At 43.9% G+C, this 20,818-nt stretch overlaps 1 protein-coding gene and 1 long non-coding RNA gene across 8 annotated transcripts in view, besides 2 other annotated features; one reads left to right on the top strand and one right to left on the bottom strand.

The window, feature by feature from the left end:
* The window catches only part of SEZ6L (seizure related 6 homolog like), a 214,135-nt gene that overhangs the window by 67,648 nt on the left and 125,669 nt on the right, over positions 1-20,818 (top strand). The window lies entirely within an intron of this gene.
* Positions 2,474-2,768: a biological region, named in NCBI's record as "Sharpr-MPRA regulatory region 5864".
* Positions 2,483-2,768: an enhancer, noted in NCBI's record as "tiled region #5864; K562 Activating DNase matched - State 24:Quies". NCBI's record gives its function as "activates a minimal TATA promoter and a strong SV40 promoter by Sharpr-MPRA in K562 cells {active_cell/tissue: K562}" and the evidence as "EXISTENCE:reporter gene assay evidence [ECO:0000049][PMID:27701403]".
* On the bottom strand, positions 4,224-9,498 carry SEZ6L-AS1 (SEZ6L antisense RNA 1). Of its 2 annotated transcripts, none has more exons than XR_002958742.2 (3): positions 7,228-9,498; positions 5,643-5,746; positions 4,224-4,302 (listed from the first exon to the last, which is right to left on the bottom strand). It is a non-coding gene; the product is annotated as an SEZ6L antisense RNA 1 (long non-coding RNA). The 2 variants fall into 2 exon arrangements; XR_001755470.3 differs by lacking the exon at positions 4,224-4,302 and adding an exon at positions 4,465-4,539.

A 20,818-nucleotide genomic window follows, 5' to 3' on the forward strand; every position in this document is an offset into this window, starting at 1 on the left:
AGGTGTGACTTCCCCACTTCCCCTCCCTGAGCCTCAGTTTCCCTGTGTGTCAAACAAGGATAATCAAGTTTCTACCTAATATGGTTGTCATGAGAACTATTACGTAAAGCTTCTTAGCACTGACTCGCTGCTGAGTAAGCTCTAATTCACGTTAGCCACTGCTTCATTCCTTCAATTACACGCCTGTTTCCCACAATGAGCAGGGACCAGGTCTTTTGCCTATTCTCAGGTTCTGGTGCAACGTCTCACAAATAGGAAACTCCCAATAAAATGTTTGCATGTAGAAATCCAAAGATGTCAGAGTGGAAGCCAGAGCCACTTATACAGTGGATAAACCTGGCAAGTTATTTCACCTCTCTGTGCCTCAGTTTCTTCATCTATAAGATGGGTATCCTGATGATACCTACCTGTTGGGTTGTTAGGAGGATGAAGTGAGTTCATATATGCAAAGTGCTTGGAACAAAGTAAACACTACACCAGTGTTGCTCTTATTGTTTTACTAAAACCAAGGAACTGAGTGATTTATTTGTTCACCAATACAGTGTGGAAGACAAAGCACATTTTACTGTGGACAATGCATAGTGGGTGGGTGGATATTAATGATGAAATGGTTAGGGCTACTGAGGCAGCCTCATCTGCCACCCACCCCACCCCACCTGCTCCTAGGCCTCCAAGCCTGTGAAGGTGGGGAATAATGATTTGGATTTTTTTTTTAATCAGCAGAGCACAAGTGTGCTATTTCACATGCCGGCTGTTTAAGTGTACACCTAGTTACAGCTGACTGCCTTGGATGATTGGTTGAGAGGGCTGAGTTCCCGTTTGTCCCCAATCAATCTGGAAACTGAAAAGGAGCCAGAATATTCATTTTCCACCATCAAGCCTGCAGCCCAGGATTATTGTTGATAAAGGAGCTGTGGAACCCAAGTTCCCCGGGGGAGATGGAAGAGTAAACATCTTACTGATATCCCAGGGCAGTGGATGAACAGAGGTCGGGATTTGAGCAAATCATGTCCCTATTATTAATTAAAGGGGCAGGGCATTGGTCAGAGCAGGCAGAAGGGCAAAGGGGCTAAGGAATAGCTGTGGGCCCCATGCAGTTGATGAAAAGGTTGTGTCCTAGAAGGGTTTAGCCTGAAGGGCTGCGTAGGCATTCAGGCTGGTATTTTGTACGGACCCACTGTGAGCCACTACGGGGCAAAGCACTCAGGAGGGAAACACAGAAGGATGTGCAAGAACTAAAAATATGCATTCCATCTGGAAGAAGACAAAAGTTGAGGAACCGTGTTTATGAAGATGGCCTCATGACAAGATGGCATTCATTCAACCACTCCTTCATCCACTTCAAAACTGTTGATTAGCACCTGTGTTGAGCCAGGCAGTTCCGATCCCTTGCGGATGTCAAATAGGAGTAAAACGCAGGCACTGCTTCCCAGGAGACAGCAGCATAAGTGGCCAGATAAAGAAAGTACATAAATAATAACAGCTGTAGCAATAATAGCAAAAATAGTAATACCTGCTGTTTTTTGGGCACCAACAATAAGCCAGGCTTCGCATAAGTTATTTCATTCAATATTCTCCATTGCTTAATGAGATGATAGGTCCTATTTTTACCCTGAGTTTGCAGATGGAAAAGCTGAGGCATGGAAATCGTTAGTCACTTGACTGAGGTTCATGCAGTTAGGAAGGAACCATGATTCAAACCAGTTCCTTCCAACTTAAACCCCTGCTGGTCACACTAGGCTGCTCTGCCTCTCGAATAACTAGAACAACATGTTGTAACTGCTGGGTTGAAGCTGCAGAAAGTCCAGTGTGACTTTAGAAGTGTAACTGGGCCTCTACATAGTGGCTCAACCCTGTAATCTCAACACTTTGGGAGGCCAAGGTAAGAGGATCACCTGAGGCCAGGAGTTCAAGACTAGCCTAGGCAACATAGCAAGACCCCATCTCTACAAAAAATTTAAAAAATTAGCAGGGCATGATGTCATGTGCTTGTAGTCCCAGCTACTTGGGAGGCTGAGGCGGGAGGATTACATGAATCCAGGAATCTGATGATGCAGTGAGCCATGATCGGGCCACTGCTCTCCAGCCTGGGCGGCAATGTGAAACCCTGTCTCAAAAAAAGGAGGGGGAGCATCTGGCCAGCTGGGGGGCAGGGTGGAGTGGAGAGGGCTGTGGCTTTAGGTCCCCTATCCCCAGCACACACCTCAGCATTTGCTCATAGTAGATGGTCAAGAAGCACTTGCCAGTTAGCCAGCAAGTTCTTTGGAAGCCTTCTCAAGCATCATCAGACAGGTTCTGCACCCTCTTGTTCAATGCTGTTCACAAAGCAGCATTTTATCCAGTGAGACCATGAAAAGGGATTGTGGGAATCTTCATTTTGTATAGAAGGAACTGCAACTAGCGAGAAGGAGAATCCACACCTAAATCCAAGCCTCCAGTACTCTGAAACCAAAGTTCTTTCCCTCAGCCTTGGAGCCTCTGGGAGGACTGATTCAAGATGAGACCCCAGACCCCTGACTCCAACCCCAAATCCTTCTAACTCCACCTGCTACCTCTTCCTCAGATCCAAGGGGCAACTTATCTTCCCCTGGTTTCTTATCAGCATGGAACAGCTGTGGTTTTCTGACTCACAGAGCCGCTGAGGTTGTAAAACATTCTCTTTTCACTTTCCATGCTGGCCAAATGCATCCTGAACCTGCTGGCGTGACCTTCTGTTGCTGCATGCAGGCCCAAGCACAAAGCCATTCATTTTGTATTCATTCTCTCCCAACCCCAATCCCCTCTGCCATCCCCCCACAACCGCACACAGCCCCCTCCACCCGCACCTTCACCTCACCCTTGGCTTAACTCAGAGAATTCAACTTCCCTCAACAAGGCTGGGGCTGGGGCTTCTTGAGCTGCAAATATCAATTTGCAGCTTTCTGTGTATCCCCTCAACACACACATACACACATACAGACACACACACACACACACACACACTCACACACACACACACACACACACACACACCATTGCATCTTGCCTTGGGCTGGGCACATAGAGGATGCACAAGAAATACATCTGGTAGACCCCCACACCTTTGCTCATGCTGTTCCCTCTGTCTCATATACCCTCTCTCCTCTTGTGTTTGACTTTTTTTCAAAGGCTCAAACCAAACAGCCCCTCCTCTTTGATGGAAGGAGAGTCCCATTCATCAGGTACGTCCCACATTCAGGCACCCAAGTCCTGAAAAGAGGACTTGGGACTCAGGCCTAGGTGTGATGCTGAATCAGCCCCCTATTCCTTGTCAACTGTGTGAATGTGGGCAGTCATTCCTGAGCCTCTGTCAAATGGGCACGATAATAGTACCTGCCTTATACTTGGTTGTTGGGAGGACTGAGTATGTAGTTAATGGCATCTGGTCCCATCCAGTCCTGACAGACAGTGGACACAAAATTGCTTGAGGCAATTTAATAATAATTAAATAATAATGTTATATGCTATCATTATTGAGCTACTACTGTGTTGTGGGAACCAGACTCAGCCTTCCACATGCATCATTCATTCAGCATTAGTGGAGCACCTACTGTGTGCCAGGTACTGTTCTAGGCGTTTCAGAGTCATCCATGGAAGAAAAAGGCCATAAATCCTTGCCCTCGTGGAGCTTACCTTCTAATAAGGAGAGACAGAGGGTGAGAAACAAACAAACAAAAATATGTGAGTTAACACAGAGTGTTGGAGGGTGTCAGGTGCTATGGGAGAAACGTGGAGCATGTCAAGGAGAGAGCAGGCAAGAGGGCATTCTGGAAAGGCCTAGGAAGATGGTGACATTTGACCTTCATATCCACCAACCCCCAGCACAAAGCATTTGCCAGAGGCAGACAGAGGAGGGCAATGGACAGTAGGCGTCCATGCACCCAAGTGAGGGAGAGAGACATGCAGACACTCTAGAGAAGAGTGTCCAGGCAGGGGAACGGCCCTGTTCGTTCATCATTTCATCCTCATGAGATATGTTACGTGTTATCCCCATTCGAAAGATGGTGAAGCTGAGACTCAAGAGAGGTTAAAGTCACATGAGAGGGTCACAGAGCTAGCAAGGGACAGCACTTACTGGTTGCAAGTCCATGCTAAATATAAGACCTTGTCATGACCCAGGGCTTGGTGCCCCTTATAGTGAAGATCAGAAGAGGAATGGATCGTCATCTTCCTCTGCTTGCTACCCTCGCTGGTTTCAAGACCTACCCTCAGCTCTGCCTCCAGGAATCTAGCACCGACTGTGTCTCACGTGGCCTTGCCTCATGCCCTCCAAGGGATGCAGCACTGGACAGAGGCAAAAGAAAGGGAAATGTCACCTTCTTCTTCTGGGCTTGGCTCCTCCGTCTTGGAAAGCGAGTCTCAGAACATCTGTTAAACCAAGCCCCAGCATATTAAACAGCCACTGAAAATGTATTGTTGCTTCGTTCAATACATAGCAATTACACGGCGAGTTTTGCTCATTAGCGGGAAATTGACACAGAGGCAATCCTGCTTTTTAAATTACCACTAATCTCACTGCACCTGTTTGGGAAGAAGGCAGGAGGAGAAAGGAAAAAAGTTGATAATAACCATTTCATTACATTTTAAAAACAAACACTTCTAAAATTCCCTTAAATATAGCTTTTGGGCTCTCAGATTCCCATCTTATCTTAGGAGGAGCCTCTTTGCCTCATGCCACAGGCTGGAGTAACTCTCCATTAATGTCACAGGCTTAATGGCACATGAGTCTGGGCACCAAGGACACCGGGAGGACAAGCTAGGCTCCCTTAAGGTTTATTTAAAGTGAGATTCTGTGATTAACTATGGTTAAGGGACTTGGTGCACATTGAGGAGAGCCACCATACCTCAGAGGCTCATGGAAAACTGACTTATTCAGTGGGTGGGCAGGTGTTAGGGGAGGTGGATGCAGATGCCGCTACAGGTGTCTCCAGAGCTCAAAGACAAGGTGTCACTTGACCAAATCAAACAGCTGTCAGTGAAGCTGGCATTCAGACTTGCTGCCCAGGCAGGTTGCTGAAATCATGGAGCCCCAATTCCCCATTTCTGTCTCAGTGCACGGGGTTGCATGCCATGCCCAGCACAGAGGCTGACTTCACACAGTAGGCACTCAATAAATGCTTCCTAACACAACCTCGGGGCTGCTTCCTGAGATGCTCCTTCACTGATATCCTCCAGTCCATGGGGCCAGGCTCATTCTGTATGAGGCACACTGCCCTGGGCTCAAGCCCCTCCCTGGCTGGGTGATCTTGGACAAACCTCTCTACCTCTCTGAGTCTTGGCTTCCTTATTTGGAAAATCGGGATAATGATAGTAAGTCCAGCTCAAGCTCGTGGCTTGCTGGCTTGTTGGTGAGGGTCTTGTGTGATCATAGGGCTGAAAGTGCTTGAGAAACTGGAAAAGTGGTTTAAGAACCACGACTATTGATACCCGTGGAAATGGAGAGAGAAAAAAGAAAAATAAAAGCAATGTAAAAAAGAACAATTATTATTATTCTGGAGTTGGTTGCTCCTTGGAAGAGGAGATGCTGGGGCCTCGGATTAACATGAAACTTACCAGAACTTAACATAGCACTGTACACATAGTGGTTCTTGATGAAGACTTGAAAAATGAATTCTTTTATTTACCTAAAAAAATGTTGGTAGAGTGTCTTCTCTTGCCAGGCAGTGGTCAAGATGGCAGGGATTCAGCGGGAAACATGCTCCCAGTCCTCCTGGAGTTGGTTAGTGCCCTAGGGCCACCATGACAAAGTGTCACAAACCAAGTGGCTTAAAACAACAGATATGTATTTTCTCACTCTTCTAGAGGCCAAGAGTCTGAAACCAAGGTATCAGCAAGGTTGATTCCTTCTGGAGGTTCTGAGGGCAAATCTGTTCCGTATCTTTGTTTCTGGTGTTTGCCTTGCAACCCTTGGTAGTCTCTGCTCTACCTCTGTCTCATATGACCTTTTCTTTGTCTCTGTGGCCAAATTTCCCTCCTCTTATAAGGACACCAGTCATTGGATCAAGGCCCACTGTAATTCTGAATGATCTCATCTTAACTTGATTATATCTGCAATGACTCAATTTCCAAAAAGTTCACATTCACAGGTACAGGGGGTTAGGATTTGAACATATGTCTTTGAGGGAGACAATTTGACCCACCACAAGGATATCAAGGATAAACAAATATCCATTGAATTTATCAGAGGGTGCCATGGAGAAAGTGAAGCAGGGTTAAGGAGGATTTCAGATAATGAATAAGCAGGAAAAGCCTCTGTGAGAAGACAGCATTGAGCAGAGAGAGCTGAGTGAATGAGGACATGAGCCATGCAAATAACTGGTGCACAGCATTCTGACAGAGCATGTGCAAAGGCCCTGAGGCAGGACCACACTGGGGATGTGCAGGAAACAGCAAAAAGTCCAGGGTGCTGGATCAGAATAAGTGAGGGAAGGGTGGAGATGGAGCAGAACAATCATCTTAGAGACTGAGGGTGTCTTAAAGAGACAGGAAGCCACTGGAGGGTTTTCAGCCATGGAGCGACCTTATTGTGGTTTACGTTTTATAAGGATCACTCTAGCTGATGCGTTGAGAAGAGATTATAAAAAGGACAAGGATGAGAGTAGGGCAACTAAAAGAAGAGGAGGAGGACAGAGCTCTAAGTTCATCAAAGCACCTGGTCTGGTAATTTTATTTAACCCATTAAGCCCCCAGAGAAGAAAAATGAGCAGGGAGGCCTGGCGTGGTGGCTCACAAGAGAAGAAAGATGAGCAGGGAGACCTGGCGTGGTGGCTCACACCGGTAATCCCAGCACTTTGGGAGGCCGAGGTGGATAGATCACTTGAGCTCAGGAGTTCGAGACCAGCCTGGGCAACATTGTGAAACCCTGTGTCTACTAAAAATACAAAAATTAGCCAGACATGGTGGCACAAACCTATAGTCCCAGCTACTTAGGGGGCTGAAGCAGCAGGATCACTTGAACCTGAGAGGTTGAGGCTGCAGTGAGCTGAGATCACATCACTGCACCCAAGCCTGGGTGACAAAGTGAGACCCTATCTCAAAAGAAAGAAAGAAAGAAAGAAAAGAGTAGAAAAATGAGCAGGGTGACCCATCACCCAAGTTGCATGTGCATTAAAGAAGCTGTGAACCTTGCAATAAAATGAGCTCATTTGAGAAGCCCTGAAATCATGGAAAATCACCGTGCCCTGTTATGTGAATGACTTAAAAACTTACCTGCTTCCATTTGTTTCCTGAGCACCCTTTGGTGTTAAGTCCTAGCCACTGGGGAGAGGGAGGGCACAGGAATGAGGAATGCAGAGTTTCTACATTCAAAGGGCTTCCCAAGGAGAGAGAAAGGTGCTCTCTGCACACACAGCTCAGCCACAGGGAACTCTAGAACAGAGAGATATTTGTTTTAAATAGTGTATCTAGGAAGTCTTACTGGAGGAAGTGGCATCTGCATTGAGCGCTCTAAGGATAGGAAGAATTTGGCAGGAGTTGAGGTGTGCACCTACCTGGTCTTGGAGGAGGCATCTTGAGGAGGGATGTCAAACTCCAATTTGTCTCACAGGAAACTGAAGCAAAGGCTATGTTGAGGGTAGGAAAAGTTGGCACTTTTTATTCCTCCCTTCTTTTATATTTTTCCCCCTTCCCAAGTGCCTACTACGCACCAGGAGCTATACGAGGCACCAGGGAAGCAACAATGAACAAGGCTGTAGGGATCCCTCTGGGAAACCACAGACTGATGGGATTTCAGTGCAGCTGAGTTGGAGAAGAGAGACAGAGAGGGAGACTTAAATAGCAGAACGAGGGGTTTGTGTTTGCTCCTTCAGCAATGGGGAGCCACGGAGGGTTTTGAGCAGGGAAATGACATGATCTGAACTGGACAAGTAATAATTATTTGGGCAGCACGCAAGGATGGGTTTGAAGGGGACCAGAGGCAAGGAAGCCAGCTCGCATCAAAAGATAACCCTTAAGTACATCTGCCTTTGTTGGGGCGCTCTGGTTTCCCGTGCCCCTTTGTGGTGGGGAGGTGAGGGATGGAGCATCAGGGGAGGGAGAACAGGCTGCAGGTCTGAGAAGGGATGAAGGGTTTCCATGGCAACCTTTTGCTTGCCTGTAGCCAAGGTAGCTATGCAAATTCCCCAGGCACCATTCCTGTGGACCTTGAAGCCAGCATCCCCGGCTGCTGAGAGCCTGACTTTAGAAAAACTGGGATGCAGTAAAATTGAACAAGAGAGACGAGAGACAAAGATGTTCGGCTGGAACAGGGGTGCAGGCTCCCAGGCAGCCCTTGAATTCCCTTGAACCTGTTCTGCAGGCTCCTTCTCCCTCCTCTAGGGAGGGACTCTCCCAAGCCCACCCTTCCCCATTTGGCATGCATTTTACACCATGGGGACTTGGGCCACCTGGAAAATGGGCTGACCTGATGGTGGTGCCTCCTTTAAGTTTTTGTGATGACTTGCAATATTGTTTGCCAAGCTTCGTACACAATGCCTGGGTCAGGGTAAGCAGGTCAAAATGCTAGCAGTTATTGTTATTTGGCATTGTGATTAAAGAATGCTGGCTCTTAGAACACCAGGTCCTCCTCTGAGAGTGGCCGCTGATTGATGTGTGACCTTGAGAAAGTCACTTCCCTTCTCTTTAATCTTCCTGTTCTTATGTGTCAGATGGGGATGCTGGCTCTACAGTCTCTTTATTAGCATTTTATTGTTGTTGTTGTTGCTGCTACTGCTGCTATTGTCACCATTATTATTAGTATTGCTGTTTTATCATTGCTATTATTATAACACCTATGTTGCTGCTACCTGCTACAAAGGGCAATGATGATGATTCCTGTAAATACTCCACGTAGTTAGAACGTGAAACTCTATGCCAAAGCAGACCATGCAAAAATGAGTTTTCGAGAAATTGTTACATGAAGAGTTTATAAAAATGAAATGCTGTATTCTACACATATCAAGACAGGATTGCTTGTGGGTGTTGAAACTTATTAGGCGAGGTAGTCCTTAGACATTCACTTGTCTTAGTCTTAATAATTGACCAAATCTCCTCTCCTTGAGTTCTCACACTGGGTCTGGGTTCCATGTCCGTTTCCATTCTAGGTGATCCTAAATTCAATTGAGAATCCTGAGTTCAGACCCTTGTAAGACACAGCCTCTCCTGTTGTAGAAAGACACCTTCCTTTACCTAACACAGATTTAGTCCACATCGTATTACTAACCCTAACCCTAACCCAACCTGAGTATTTGGCATGTAATAGACACTCACATTTGTTGAAAGGAAGAAAAGAAAGAATTAGAAGGAAGAAAATGGGGCACACTGCTTTCTAATCCCAAGACCCTCTAGTTATTAATCTAGAGAGGAAGGTAGAAGCCAACTCTCTCATATTCGTCTCAGTGGAAAAGCCATTTTTCCCCTCTAACTCCAGACTTTCTGTCTTCTTTTTTTACTCACCAATGCCCAAAGGAAAAAAAAAAGGTATTTCCAAGTACGAAAGTACAAAGTTTCAAACCCACTCGTGCTCCTCCTTACAATGCAGTCGATTAATCCCACAACATTTCTCCTGGGTGGTTGCCGTTAATTGAATTAAATGAGATAATATTTGTTGAGTACGTAGCACTGCGCCTGGAAATGTTTATTGCATAGAATTGAATCTGTAATGGGTAGAGATGATTAGCATTGTTGTTGCTGCTCTTAATTAGAGCTATTAATAACCCCCTTCATTAGCACAGTACTTTGGAACTTCCAACCCATCTTCTAATGCATTTCCTTATGGCACCGTCTGGGTCTCAATGTTTCTGTCAGATAAATGGGGGTGACAATTTGAACTATGTGAAATTCTTGAGAGGTCATTCTCACAGTGCTGAGTGCGAACGTGCTTTGCAGACTCTAGAAGGCTTTGCAAATATCAAGGGTGTGCTATTTTATTGTTGTCTGAATTGAGAGGTAGAGATAGACTCTGATATATGAATAGGAAAACCCCATACCCTCATCTCATGATGTGAAATGACTGCCTGGCTGTGTTCTTTTTGCCCACACCAGGCACACTTAAGATTCAAGTAAACAAAGGGCATTTGTAGGGCAGGTAGGTCCCAATGATGTTATTAAGAAAATCACTAAAATAGGCATGGACTTGGGCTTCACGGAATCTGGGTTCAACACTGAGCTCTGCTACTTCTTCAGGCAAGTCATTCCTCCTTTGTACTGTGTCAAATAGTGTCCCCACCCTCCCCAAATTCATGTCTGCCGAAAAGCTCAGGATGTAACCTTATTTGGAAATAAGGTCTTTGCAGATGTAATTCGTCAGATGGGGTCATATTGGATTGGGGTGGGCCTTAAGTCCAATGACTGGTATCTTCCTAAGAAGGTCATGTGGAAGATGCAGAGAGACACACTCAGAGAAGAATGCCATGTGATGATGGGGGCAGGTAGGAGAGTGATGCAACTGCAAGCCGAGGAACACCAAGGATTGCCAGGGGCCACCATACTGAAAGACACAAGGAAGGATTCTTCCCCGGAGCCTACAGAAAAGACATGGCCCTCCTGACACTCTGATCTTGGACTTCTAGCCTCCAGGACTGTGAGAGAATATATTTCTGTTATTCTAAACCAGCTAGATGGTGGTAATTTGTTGTGGCAGCTCTCGGAAACTAATATACCCTCTCTAGGCTTTGGGATTTTATAAAATTGTGATGATATAGCGGAAATCTCACATCTCACTAGACAGATTCTGCAGGATGATCCATGCAAAGGTTGTAGAACAGTGCCAGCACTTAAACGGTCTCCAGATGATCACACATTGACACCATCACCGTTAGAACCCACAATGACCTGGGCTGTCTCCTTGATGTCCCTGCCTGCCCTCAGCCTCCAGAGAGTGTCCAGGCAGTCACCTGACTCTAACTGAGAGTTCTGTCTGTGTCTCCATCACAGAGAGCCAGACTGGACAAAGAGTTCAGGGTGCATTTGGAGGATTGCAGGGCAGGGACAAGGAAAAGCTGCAATACCTGGACAAGTCCCTGATGACAGCTCAGCATCAGGACCTACTGTGTGCCAGGTAGTTCGTAGAAGTCACACCAAATATTCAGAATGCCTCCAGTGTCAACATCATTGTACTACCTCCTTAAGCCACAATGTCTTCATCTGTAAAATGTGAATGGTGACATTCCTACCTCATAGCATTGGAATGAGATTAAGGATACATAATGACTTGTACATAAGTGTTTAGTAAGAGGGAACTACTATTGGTATCTTTTTTGTTTAGAGAGAGACAGGGTCTCACTCTTTTGCTCCAGCTGGAGTGCAGAGGCACAATCATACCTCACTGTAACCTCGAACTCCTGCGCTCAAGCAATCCTCCCACTTCAGCCTCCCAAGTACCTGGGACCACCATGCCCAGCTAGTTTTTCTATTTTGATTGTTGTAATGACCTCTTTTTCACGGTTGAGAAAATGAGGTTCAGAGAGGTAAAATAACTGGCACAAGGTTGCCCAGCCGTGAATCACGGGATCCAGGATTTGGACATACAATTCTGACTCTGACCTCATGCATCGAAGATCCTCTCTTGCCAACTTGCCTTCTGCTTCCAGCAAGGAGACAGAATGGTTAAGTTGTGAGTGGCATTTTCAACTCTGGAAGTTTAGGTTGACCTTGCATAAAAGACCAACTCCATTTTCCTTGGAAAGGACTCTGGTTTTAAGGAAAGAAATTTCATGGGGTGGATCCTGCTGCAAAGCTGGTACAAACAACCCAGTGGCTGAAGCGGCTATGCAAGACTGCCTTCCTAGGGGAACCTGCCCATGCCCCATGCATTTCTTTTCTTTTTTCTCCTGATAAGAACTGTCTTTTAATATTTTGGAATGGTAAAGCTAAAGTAATAAGATTCAAAAAGAGCCATCTTCTGGTTGCACTAAAACTTTCTCTTTTTTAAGTATTTTTTAATTGACATATAATAATCTTATGTATTTATGGGCTACAGCGTGATATTTCAATACGTGTACACAAATGATCAAATCAGGATAATCAGCATATCTATCACCTCGAAAATGTATTATTGCTTTGTCTTGAGAACATTCAAAATTCACTCTTCTAGCTATTTGAATATATACAATCAATTGTTAATTATAGTCACCATCTAGTGCTATAGAACATGAGATCTTATTCCTCCGATCTAGCTGTAAGTTTGTATCCACTAACCAACCTCTCCTTCTCCTCTCCCCTTATCCTTCCCAGACTCTAGTAACCACTATTTCACTCTCTACTTCTGTAAGATCAGCCTTTTCAGTTTCAACAGATGAGTGAGAACGTGTGGTATTTATCTTTCTGTGCCTGACTTATTTCACTTAACACAATGGCCTCCAAGCTTATCCTTGTTACCTCCAATGACAGATTTCTTTTTTAAATGGCTGAATAGTATTCGTGTGTGTGTGTGTGTATGTGTGTCCATTTCTTGGATTTTCTTTATCCATTCATCCATTATGGACTTAGGCTGATTTCTTCTCTTGGCTATTGTGAATAGTGCTGCAATAAACATGGGAGTGCAGATATCTCTTCAACATACTGATGTCCTTTCCTTTGGATATATACCTGAGAGTGGGATTGCTGGATCGTAAGGTAGTTCTACTTTTAATTTTTTGAGAAACCTTGATACTGTTTTCCATAATGGCTATACTAATTTACATTCCCACCAACTGTGTATAAGAGTTCTTTCTATGCATCCTCGCCAGCATGTTATTTTTTGTCTTTTTGATAATAACCATCCTGAGATGAGATAATATCTCATTGTAGTTTTGATTTGTATTTTCCTGATGTAGTAGGGATGTTGAACATTTTTTCATATACCTGTTGGCCATTTACATGTCTTATTTTGGGAGATGTTTATTCAGCACATTGTCACATTTTTAATCAGATTATTTGTTTTGTTGCTGTTGAGTTGAGTTCCTTGTATATTTTGCATATTAATCCCTTGTTGAATGAATAGTTTGCAAATATTTTCTCCCATTCTGCAGGTTGTCTCTTCACTCTGTTGATTGTTTTCTTTGCTGTGTAGAAGCTTTTTAGTTTGATATAATTCCATTTGTCTATTTTTGCTTTTGTTGACTGTGTTTTGAGGTCTTACCCAAAAAATCTTTGCCCAGACCAATGAACCAAGATGTTTCCCCTATGTTTTCATCTAGTAGATTCATAGTTTCAGATATTACATTTAAGTCTTTATCATTTTGAGTTGATTTTTGTATATGATAAGAGATAGGGGTCTACTTTCATTCTTCTGCATGTGGATATCCAGTTTTCCCAGCACCATTAATAAGAGAATGTCCATTCCCCCAGTGAATGTTCTTGGTGCCTTTATCAAAAGTCAGTTAGTGTAAATACATGGATTCATTTCTGGGTTTGCGATTCTGTTCCATTGGTCTATGTATCTGTTTTTATGCTGGCACCATGCTGTTTTAGGTACTATAGCTTTGCAGTATATTTTGAAGTCAGGTAGTATGATGCCTCCAGCTTTGTTCTTTTTGCTCAGGATTGCTTTGGCTATTCGGGATCTTTTGTGCTTCCATAGGAATTTTAGAACTTTTTCTATCTCTGTGAAGAATGTCATTGGTATTTTATAGGGATTGCATTGTATCTGTAGATCACTTTTGGTAATATAGTCATTTTCACAATATTAATTATTTCAATTCATGAATATGGGATGTCTTTCTATTTTTTTGTGTCCTCTTCAATTTCTTTTATCAGTGTTCATAGCTTTCCTTATAGAGGTCTTTCACCTCCTTAGCTAAACTTATTCCTAAGCATTTTATATATTTTTGAGGTAGCTATTGTAAATGGGATTGTTTTTCTTGATTTCTTCTTTTCAGCTAGTTTGTTGTTGATGTATAGAAGTTCCTCTGATTTTTGTATGTTAATTTCATACTCTGCAACTTTACTGAATTTGTTGATCAGTTCTAAGAGTTTTTTGGTGGAGTCTTTAGTTTTTCCTAAATATAAGATCATGTCATCTGCAAACAACTTTCCACTTTGGATGTTCTTTCTTTCTTTGCCTAGTTGCTCTGGCTAGGGTCTCCAGCACTGTGTTTAATAGGAGTGGTGAGAGTAGGCAGCCTTGTCTTGTTCTAGTTCTTAAAGGAAAAGCTTTTCACTTTTATCCATTCATTATGATGTAAGCTGTGGATTTTCCATATATGGCCTTTATTGTGTTGAGGTATTCTCCTTTTATTCCTAATTTGTTGAAAGTTTTTTTTTTTTTTTTATCATGAATGGATGTTGAATTTCATTAAATGCTTTTTCTGCAAGTCTTGAAATAATCATATGGTTTTTGTCTTTGATTCTTTTGGGGTAGTGTATCACATTTATTGATTTGCACATATTAAAGCATCAGCAAGTGCTGCATGTCCCAGAAGCTACTTCAGGGCCTGTAAAGACTGAAGGGGAGCTGGAGAAAGTCAGGCATCTTGGGTTTGTGTATTTGGGGTGGTGGGAGGAGGCTTGGAGTCAGTTTTTCATTCTAATCCCATCTTGGTTAGCTTAGGGCTGCTAGGGGGATCCTTGCTAAGGCAGCAAAGTGCCTGCACAGAATCAGTGCCCCCTGGAAAGGGGATGTCATTATGGAAACTGCTCAGTGGTATTTGTGAAATGGAGGTGTCTCACCCCAGGCCAGGGAGACTCACAGCCCCTGAGCCAGGATGGACATCTATATCCCAACACACATTCAAGTCTTGCCTGATAGAGCAAAGGAGTGGTCCTGTGTGTGGCCACTCATCCCCCTGGAAGTAAGTGGGGGTGTCCTGCCCACTCCCTGCTCCTCCCCATGCATCTCCCTGGATACCTTTGGAATCCTGAGATCACCCCCACCCCACCCCTATTTAAACTCAATGGGGCAAAATAACTCCAAGTGTTGTCTGTGAATGGCGGCAGCAGGAGCAGCGGCGGCAGCAGCAGCATCAGCGACAGCAGCAGCACAGGCAGCAGCAGCACCTGGGAGCTAGTTAGAAATGCAGACGCTTGGATCCCATCCCAGGCCTACCCAGTCAGAGTCTACATTTTAACAAGGTCCCCAGGTGTCTCATGTGCACATTCAAATTTAAGAAGCTGGACTAGAGAATGAAAAAAGGAAAGGGTTGGGCTAAGAAAAGGGTAACCTAACTCTAGAAAGGAAGTAATTTAGTTTTTCAGTGATTTATGCACTTATTTTTGGTTATCTATCTGAAGTTCAGACTCTACCAAAGATCCTTGAAAAACCCCTTTGCAGAATCATTCCCTACCTCAGATGAAGTTCTCAAAATTGACAAAGAAACATGTGTGTATATATATAGATATTTCAACTTTTATTTTAGATTCATGGGGTACATGTACAGGTTTGTTACATGGGTATGGTACATGATGCTGAGGTTTGGAGTATGATTGATCTCATCACCCAGGTACTGAGCATATTACCCAATCTTTAGTTTTTCAGTCTTGTCCCCCTCCCTCACTCCTCCCTCTAGTAGCCCCACTGTCTATTGTGACCATCTAAATGTACATATGCATCCAATGTTTAGCTTCCACTTATAAGTGAGAACATGCAGTATTTGGCTTTCTGTTCCTGAGTTAACTCACTTAAGATAATGGCACCCAGTTGCATCCATGTTCCTGCTAGGGACGTGATTTTGTTCTTTGTTTATGGCTGCATAGTATTTCACAGTGTATATGTACCACATTTATTTTATCCAATCCATCATTGATGGGCACCTAGGTGGATTCCATGTCTTTGCTATGGTGAATAGTGCTGTAATTAACATGCAAGTGCATGTGTCATTTTAGTAGAATGACTTATTTTCTTTTGGATATATGCCCAGTAAGAGGATTGCTAGGTCGAATTGTAGTTCTGCTTTAAGTTCAACAAAGAGTAATATTAATAGTGGTAGCAGACAGTCTTCGGGGCCTACCTCTGGGCCAGGCATTGGGCTAAGAGTTTAGAGTGAATTATTTCATTTAATCCTCACATCTCCCTAGAAGGGTGGGTATTATTATTCTCCTCCATTTTATAAATTTGAAATCCAAAATGATGTGGCTGGCCCAGAATCACAGTGTAAGCAAATTACACATCTGGCTTTGAACGAGGTCTTCCTGCTCCTAGGCCTCTCTTTGACCACCAGGATACCCTTTCTTATGCATCAGAAGGGCATCACCAGCATAGTCTTGGCTTCAGCTCTCCACTCCTGCATAAAATGTGTATGTTCCCCTGCCTCTGGAACCTTTATTGTTGGTGGTACTGCTGCTGCTGCTGATGATGATGATATTTAGTTGGTTTTTTTGACTGTCCCTAGACCCTTATTTAGGCTGTTCCTTTTACCCCCCTACTTGCAATGTCCTTTCTCAACGTTTTCACCTATTTGCATTAAAAGTCCTAGAAGAAAAGATATCAGGGCTCTTGACTTCATTTTTTAAACCCACAGTGCCGAGCTCATTGCTTGTACAAAATAGATGCCCAGAAAATGCTTGTTGAAGTTAGTTTATTATTTAGTTCAATTATTATTTGGTTCTTTATCATTAGTGCGTTATTATTTAGTTGAACTATTTAGTTAAATTTAGTTTACTGTATACATTCTCAATGAGGGCAATGTTGCCCCCAAAGGGACAAAAATTGGTGCTTAGGTTCCTGTGTATGTATAAAAAACAGATCTCCTATGGTATATAAATAAGTATACAGTATATCTGCAGTATTAAATTTTCATGGAAAAAGTCATCTTAAAAGGCTCCTGGGACAGGTGATAATGAGGAAAAAAGATTTTATAAGGATGAGTTTATAATATAATTCATTCAAAGTTTTAGTCTTAAAAATCTGGACGACAAAACACAAATAGACAGAATACTTAATTAAATAACTCACCAAGGATGAAACACAAGTGGAAAACTCATGGGAAATGTTCATCCTTCGTAGAGGTCAAGTGAATGCACCTGCAACTACCCTTGAGGGACCACATTACACCAACTAAATTAGCTTAGAATGTTTAAACCAATAACACTTGGTGTTGGCAAGGTTATTAGAACATTGGTAAGCTCAGGGGCTTTGTGATTTGAAAGACCCCTTAGGAAAGCAACACGGCAATTCTGTCCAGCTAGAGCGGTAAAACTGTTCATGCCCTTTGACCAAAGGATTTCATTCCAGGGAATTTCTGCTTGAAGATGGATTCAACTGTAGCAAAAGTTGTATACACAAAGATGCTCATTAACTACAGCTAGCACTGAAAAAGAAAAAGGAAGAGGAGAAGTGAGGAAGGAAAGGGACGGAAGAGGGAGAAGGGGAAGCAGAAACGGAGAGCAGGAAGGAGGAAAGGAAGGAAGATGGGAGGGAAGGAAAAATGTCAAACAAAATGAACACATGTAGGCCAGCTGCAGTGGCTCATGCCTGCAATCCCAGCACTTTGGGAGGCCACGGCGGGAGGATTGCTTGAACCCAGGAATTTGAGGCTGCAGTGAGCTATGATTGTGACACTGCACTCCAGCCTGGGTGATGAAATGAGATCCTGTCTTTAAAAATAAATAAATAACACATGTAAAACACCCAACAGAGTGCTGAGCATTTGGTGAGTGCTCTACAGACAGTACTATCGCCATTAATTCTTCCTCTCTACTAGCAGTAAGACCAGAGCAATTGAGCATCTGTCCTACTGGGGGGCTTCAGAAGGAGGGTGAGTGTCAGGGGTCTTAATGAGGAGGGTCTAGAATACAGCTCCAGCAAGCTAAGATAGTGGACAGCTGCCAAGATCGTGGATAGAGGGATATCCTACACAGCTCTATTTATTAAGGAGTGGGTGTCTCCAGGCATGAATTTGAGGGCTGTTTCCTGTCCTCAGAATTCTATCACCTGGTCCTAGCTCATTGTTGATGAGCAAGCCACTGTTTCCAGTTTCCTTGGATAAAGGAGCTTCCAGCAGAGCCAACCTGGGATACATTGTGCAGACCAGTTCTAAAGAATACTTTAGAATTCTCTCTTTTTAAAACCACTTTATTGAGGTGTAACGGGCATACCAAAATGTGTAGGTATTTGTTACATGCAATTTGATGGATTTGGAGATGAGCACACACCCATGAAAACATCAGTGCAAACCTCCAGTGCCCATTTTTCCTATGACCTAAGGATGTGAAGGCATCTTAAGACTTATCCGTCTAAGGCCCAGGCATCTGCATTTACAAACTTGCCTTTTGCTTCCCTCGGGAGCCTGGTTAATGCTTGAAGGAGGCCTAGAATAAATCACCAAAGCTTTCCTATCTGGGTGGCCTTCATAGAGAAGAAGAATCCCCTCTGCTGTGTAAACATTAAACAATTTGAGATTTCAAAGTGGTGTCTCCAAACAAAGAAGATGGCTAACACAAGCCTCCCTTGCCCACTACATGGAAGAGAAGGACTTTCTGTGAGGTTTGTGAGCCTGAATCAAAATGCCAGCACCTGAGGCCACCCTGAGAAATCCTTCATGACTCCTGAGGATAATTTTTGCCGAGACAGAGGGAATTAGGCCTGTTCCTGTCTCTGCTAGGAAATCTCAGAACTCATCCCAGCTCACAGTTGCTGGGGAAAGAGTCTTGGGGCTGTCACCTCCATGTCTACTTTCTCCAGCATAGCAAAAGCATCCCCAGAGGCAGGAGAGGGTAACGCGCAGCAGTTGTCTATCTGACCTCGCAGTGTTGAGCACCTGCTCAGGGAAGGCTTGGTGCTAGTCACTGGGAATCCAATAAAAGTGAAATAAATAGGGCCTCTGCCTTCGTGGAGCAGACAGCCATGTAGGGCAGACAAGCAGCCATCATCCCATTTAAAATCATTGTAAACTTACAGCTGTGAGATCTTTAGTGTTGGAAGAGCACATGAGTGGGGTTTAGGCTGGCCTGGGAGATCAAGGGAGTGATGGTTAAGCTGAAGTTCAAAGGAAGATTAGGAAGGAAGGGAAGGAAGAGGAAGAGAGTTCTATGTACAAAAACCTGTTGCCTTATTCATCCTTCTCCTGCCCTCTCTTCTCACAAAAGGAGAAATAAATAAGCAAAGATAAAAATGGGAAGGAGCATGAGCAAGTAGTTGGAGAAGTAAGGAAATGCGTAAGAGACTAGGTAAACAATGAAAGGCAGATAAGCTAGAGGGGTATTCGGGGATGCCAGGGACGTGTGCATGAAAGAATAAATAACAAAGGAATATGGGTACAAGGAGATAAGCTAAGAAGTGAACAAAGGAAGTGAATAAGAGGTCACCTGAGTGAGGAGGAAACCAACATATGAATGAAAAGCAGGATTCCTCCATTCCAGTATTTCCCCATAGCCAAAATGGCCAAAAGGCTCTTTCCAAATGCACACAGAATGTAGAAAACATAGAAGAGACCCATGGCTTGCTCTGTGCCACAGTACAGAAGTTCTCGGCCTTGTCTGAAACATTGGAATCACCTGGAGAGCTTTAAAAGACACAGATGCCTCAGTGCCACCCCAAAGAGGCTGATGCAGTGGGCTGGGGTGTTGCCCAGGCATAAGGATTGTTGAAAGCTCTCTAGGTGACTCTCGTGGACTTCCACGGCTGGGAACCACTGCCATAAGGCACTGGTTTCATAGCCTGGTCCCTGGACCAGCAGCATCAGCATCACCTGGGACCTTGTTAAAAATACAAAATCTCAGACCCTTCCGCAGACCCACTGGGTCAGAAACTCTGGGGGTAGGGCCTGGCATCTGTGCTTTAAGAAGCCCTCCCTGGGGTTCTGATGCTCACTCAAGCCTGACATCTACTGCCATGGAGGGAGTTTGTCATCGGCTGAGATTCCTTCAAGAGGAAACATGCTCCTGTTGCAGCAGAGAAAGTTCAGGTTAGATTCAAAGCAGGACCAAGTGTAGACTCCTGAGCATGATCATCAGAGCCACCATGGTCTGGGCCAGTGGTTTTCAACAGGGGTGGGGAGCAATTTTGCTCTCCAAGGGACATACGGAAATGTCTGGAGATGTTTTTGATGGTCACAACATCCCCACAACAGGTGGGGTGGGGTTACTGCTGGCATCTAGAGGGTAGAGATTAGAGATGCTATTAAACATCTTAAAATGCACATGACAGTCTCCTATCATAAAGAATTATCCAGCCCAAACTTCAATTGTATTGAGGTTAAGGAACCCCAATCTAGGTAAATGCACCTAAGCAAGCTCTAGTCCTTGAAGAGAAGCACCCAATGCAAAATACTTTTATCTTGATCTCATTCCTATAAGCTTATAGATGATGGATCTGGGGAAAAAATCCCCTACAAAATCCCATTTAACTTCTCATTTTACAGGAGAGAAAACAAGCCGCAAAAATGAAATTATTTTCTAGCATCTCACAACACTCCTAATTCCTGTCTATTAATTTCCTCCATAAATATTTATTGAAAACTTGCTAAGTGCAAGGTACTGTGCTGATAAGAAGAATGTAATGGCAGACCAGATGGACAATTCCTGCCCTCAGGGAGCTCCCAATAATCAAAGGCATCAGTAAAATTATAAGGACTTCTTAATTTAAGGTGGCAGGAGAAGGCTCTTCTGAGGAGGTGACATTTATGCTGAGGTCTGAGGACTAAAGAGGGAAAACCATGAAGAGAGGGAACAGGTAGTACAGAGGCTGTCCTATCTCCATTACTCCAGCCTGCAAGGAGAACCTAGCTTCTCCCTGCAGCCAGGTGTCTGCCGCTCACCGATCTGGAGGGAGTTGCTGGAGCTTGGAGAAGAACAGGCATTTAACTCCAGACAGCATTCAGAGTCTTATAGAAACCCCAGGGAGTTTATCACATCTAAGACCCTGATAGCATCTGTATTAGAAATGAGAATCCGAACAGACTGCTCATGA

Source organism: Homo sapiens, chromosome 22 (assembly GCF_000001405.40).
Source record: "Homo sapiens chromosome 22, GRCh38.p14 Primary Assembly".
NCBI lineage: Eukaryota > Metazoa > Chordata > Mammalia > Primates > Hominidae > Homo > Homo sapiens.